Genomic DNA, 4,418 nt, shown 5'->3' with positions numbered 1-4,418 from the left:
TACAGTTTGATGCAAAAATTTAAAACATATCCATAAATTCTGGAAAAACTTCCAACCCAGAAGCCTAAATACAGTTTGGATGCTTAGGTTGGTGAGACTTCAGAGATCCGGTCAGCTCGGCCCACACATTCCTACAAGGTTCCAGCCAGCTCGAGCTGCTCCAGAGACCTCCAGGGAGTGCAGACTGCTCCTCAAAATGCTCACAGCCGGTGCCCTGGCTGATTCACTCATGGGAGTCTTTTGTTTCTTTCTACTTATCTGGGCAATGCTCCTATGCCTGGAAGCTTTCTTGGAAGGGGAATAGAAAGAATGGACATGATGTATGTAGAAATGCCAAAGAAAAATGACTCCTTTTCGGATATCCATCAGGTTGGAGAGAGTCTGAGTTTGGGTTCTTCAGTTGAAAACCATAGCAACCTACTCTGGCAAACTTCTGCAGTAAGGGGATTTTCTGGAAGACTATGGGAATGCTGGCAGGATCAAAGTAAAGGGAAAAGTCTTGGTCTGGAATATTCAACAGTAAAATGGGAGAACATATGCCCTGGATTTGCCACCACATTCTTGACTGCACATCTTGGGAAGGATAATTCCCCTAGAAGAAATCGAGGTACACTTACGAACGGATTATGAATTGGGGGAACCCATGAAAAGCCCCACACACTCAAGACTGTATATCTGGGCCTCACTGTGTCCAGTGTGGAATTCTGAGGGGTGCTGGCAGTGCCCACCTACTTCCAGGACTGGAAATAAATGAAGCCTGACTCTCTCTACTCTATCTGTCATGCTGTTGAGTTCACATTGCAGCTCAACTGTATGCCTGAAAACGCTGTAATTGTAAAAGGCATTTTTTCCCTTAAATCTGATAACTTGGATTAGACGCAGTTTTTCTATGTTTTTGTCTCTGTTATGCCTCAGCCCTCATCTCCCCAGCTGGATCTCCCACCGTCACCATAGGAGGTGGTCTGATCAGATACTGCAGGACTGTGGTAGAGGGATTGGTGGCAAAGGCATTCAATTCCAGTGAAATGAGAGGCCTTTATCTCCTCTGCTTTGCTATGACAGGAATCCAGACACTTGGACAGGATGGGGTCCCCAACAGATGTGCCTCAAGTCAGGTTGCTCACAACCGCCAGGGATGCTGATACTCCCTTGTGAATTCTCAGTCTTAGCAGCAGGTAAGAAAATCACACATCATGCACGTGAGTTTCCCTGGGGTGGCCTACAAAAGGGGGCCTATTCACAATAAATCCTGTTCCAGCATTGCTTCCACTAAGAAAGCCCTAACCACACCAGCACAGCTGTCAGGATGCCCTCAGCCACTGTGGCTCACTTTAACTCACAGGAGAAGCTTTGAGATGAAGGGAAACATCTGCAACAGTGGCAGGATTAGCAGCAGAGCACCTCGGAAGGGGCAAAGGTTTGCTGGATTACACAGTGCAATTATGCATACTTGCAGTTTTAGAGAGCTCAAAACAAATCCCTCTGTTTTTGACCTAGTATCTGGGGCTTAACAGCTTTAATGAAGCTTCCCATTGCCTCTGCCAGATGGTCCTTCTCTCATACCCCAGACTGATTTATTCCTCATTTATTACTCATACCACTATTCCTCAATAGCACTGATGGATACATACTTTTCCAAATTTTATTTAGGTTGAGCTATTCAAATAAATGGATATATTGCCTTGTAACTTTTATGTATTTGAATAAAAATACTAAGGTTATATCTGTGAACCTAATCTTATTCCTTTGGATACACTTTTTCATTATTTTGAGTTTCCAAAACATTTGCTCCATAAAAGACTTGAGGCTACTTAAATATTAAGGTGGAGTATAACAGTATAAGAATTCCATTGGACAAATGTTTATTACACCCATAGAGTGTGAGGGGTTATGAAAAACAGTGTGGAAGATTTGAACAATGAACTTAAGCTGTTTCTTCCATTGGGGAGCTCATGGTATAATGTACAGAATAATAAGAATGATGAAAATGATCTCAGACATTTGTCAAACACTCACTGTAGCCCAGACATTCTGCTAAATGCAGCAAATCAGTGAGTGCTCTAAAGACCACCTGATGAGGGAGGTAATTTTGGTTTCCCCACTTTACAGATAAGGAAACTGAGGCTTATAAAGAGGCTTCCCATTAACAAATGTGAGAAGCAGAATTGGGATCCAGGCAGTGTGCCTGCACTCTTGACCATGATGCTACACAGCCTCCCTACAAATAGCCATGAGGAGGAGAAGAGCTGGAATATAAGGGAAACAATAACTAAATAACCTCAGAAGAGGAGAGGAACACTTCTTGCGGGAACAATCAAAGCAATCTTCAAGAAAGAAAGCAATTTCTCTCCACCCTTGGAGGAAGAGTAAGAATCCAAAAGGTGGAGATGGAAAAGGGTACTCTAGGCACAGTGCAAGATACACAGAAGCCCACAGAGATAGCTGCAGAGGCCTGTGACAGACAGTGAGTCCTTAGGTATGGTGAAGCGGGGGCAGACGAGGCTGGAAGGGGAAGCTGAGAGGAGGTTATAGAGGTGTTCAAATGCTGGCTAGCAAGGTAGGAGCCTCCTGAATGCAACATGGATTATTGAAGTTTAGAGGGCCATAATCTCAACAGCACAGTGGGGAGATCAACCTAGCAACTTGTGTAAACCGGGCAGGCTGGGACTGCCAATTAGGACAGTAATAAGGGTCCCCATCAATGAGTACAGACAATGTGGGAGGGACTTAGAGAACAGAAAGAGTCAGCAATAGGTCTGAGCACCCCTCAGGAATCCACACTGGATACAGTAAGGCCCAGGTATACAGTCTTGAGTGTGTGGGGCTTTCGATGGCTGGAGAGGTGGGATCTCAAGGTGATTGCAACCTGGGATGACATTCCTCAAGAGGTGCAGCAGGTCTGCTGGGGAAGACGTGATGAGTCAGGTCAGGGGTGCCAGTAGGAAGTGTCAAAGAGTTGTCTTTCCTGCAGCTGGTCATGTAGGGATGCATGAATCTTAGAAGTGCTGATAAGGGATTCATTCCAGCTAGGAGATAACTGAAGCTGGGAGTGGGTTTGGATGCCCAGTGATATAGTTTGGTTCTGTGTCCCCAACCAAATCTCATCTCAAATTGTAATCCCCACAAGTCGAGGGAGGAACCTGGTGGGAGGTGATTGGATCATGGAGGCAATTTCCCCCATGCTGTTCTCATGATAGTGAGGGCTTTCTCACAAGATCTGATGGTTTTAAAAGTGGCAGTTTCCCTTGAATGCTCTCTCTCTCTCTCTCTCTCTGTCTCTCTCTTTCCCCTCTCTCTCTCTCCTGCTGCCTTGTGAAGAAGGTGTTTGTTTCCCCTTTGCCTTCTGCCATGATTGTAAGTTTCCTGAGGCCTCCCTAGCCATGAGGAACTGTGAGTCAATTAAACCTCTTTTGTTTATAAATTACCCAGTCTCAGGAAATATCTTTATAGCAGTGTGAAAATGGACTAATACACTCAGTGAAATTTTTGTCCTGTAGCTGGAATCCACAGTCTCTTGTTCACAATTCTGAAGTGTAAAAAGTTCTGGAAAGGAGCCTATTTATTTATTTATGCACTTATTTATTTATCCACTTACTTGTTGGGAGTGTCAGGGAAACTCACCAGACCACAAAAACTGACATGAAGCTTCTTAGTTTCTCTATTAATCTCACTTAGAGTAAAAAGTCATACTCTTTGGTGCAGAAATAATCCTGTGTACTGACCTAGACCGTACTGAGGAAGTTTCATCATAGGGTGTCCATAGTACAGATTCCCTTTACCTTCTAAAATCCCCCAAATTTCCCATTCCAAAGCACACCTGGCAACAAGAATTTTAGATAAGGGATTTTGGGACTGCACTTACCTTCTGAAAACAGCAAGCTGAGAAATAATCTTAACAGCTAATGATTGCTGGGGGCTTATACTTAGAAGTATGCCCAGCATACCTCTAAGTGCTTTAATTCCATTTTCACAACAGTCATATTAATTGAGAACTATAGTTATCTTTACTTTACAAATGAAGGACCTGACGTTCAGGCAGGTTAGCGGTAGGAGGTGGGGTTGCTACCTGTTCCAGGCAGGCTGACCCAAGGTCGTGTTCTTTACCACTAAGACACATTGCCTCCAAATTAATCTGTGAAACTATTTAGAAATGAATTGACTCAATCCTTGTATTAGATTAGTGAATAGCAGGGAACACATACCTTTCACCACATTTCCACAAATGATACAAGTGCATGGTTCACCCAGGGTATTCTCTCATTCACATTCTGGCAAAGCAGAGGGAGCAATATTAAAGCACAGCCCAGGAAAATTGTTTCTGTGTGGGCCCTAGAGACTATGTAGAGAGTTTTCCCTAGTTCTTGTTGCCAGCTAGAGCAGCCAGGGTATTTTTCCAGGGTGTGTGACCACATTAAGGC

At 44.0% G+C, this 4,418-nt stretch overlaps 1 annotated feature.

The window, feature by feature from the left end:
• Positions 2,913-3,113: a silencer, noted in NCBI's record as "peak5484 fragment used in MPRA reporter construct". NCBI's record gives its function as "represses an SCP1 promoter by STARR-seq MPRAs in K562 erythroleukemia cells {active_cell/tissue: K562}" and the evidence as "EXISTENCE:reporter gene assay evidence [ECO:0000049][PMID:32103011]".

Source organism: Homo sapiens, chromosome 5 (assembly GCF_000001405.40).
Source record: "Homo sapiens chromosome 5, GRCh38.p14 Primary Assembly".
Classification (NCBI taxonomy): domain Eukaryota; kingdom Metazoa; phylum Chordata; class Mammalia; order Primates; family Hominidae; genus Homo; species Homo sapiens.
The sequence above is the reverse complement of the archived record's forward strand: the minus strand, read 5'-3'. Positions and strand labels throughout refer to the sequence as shown.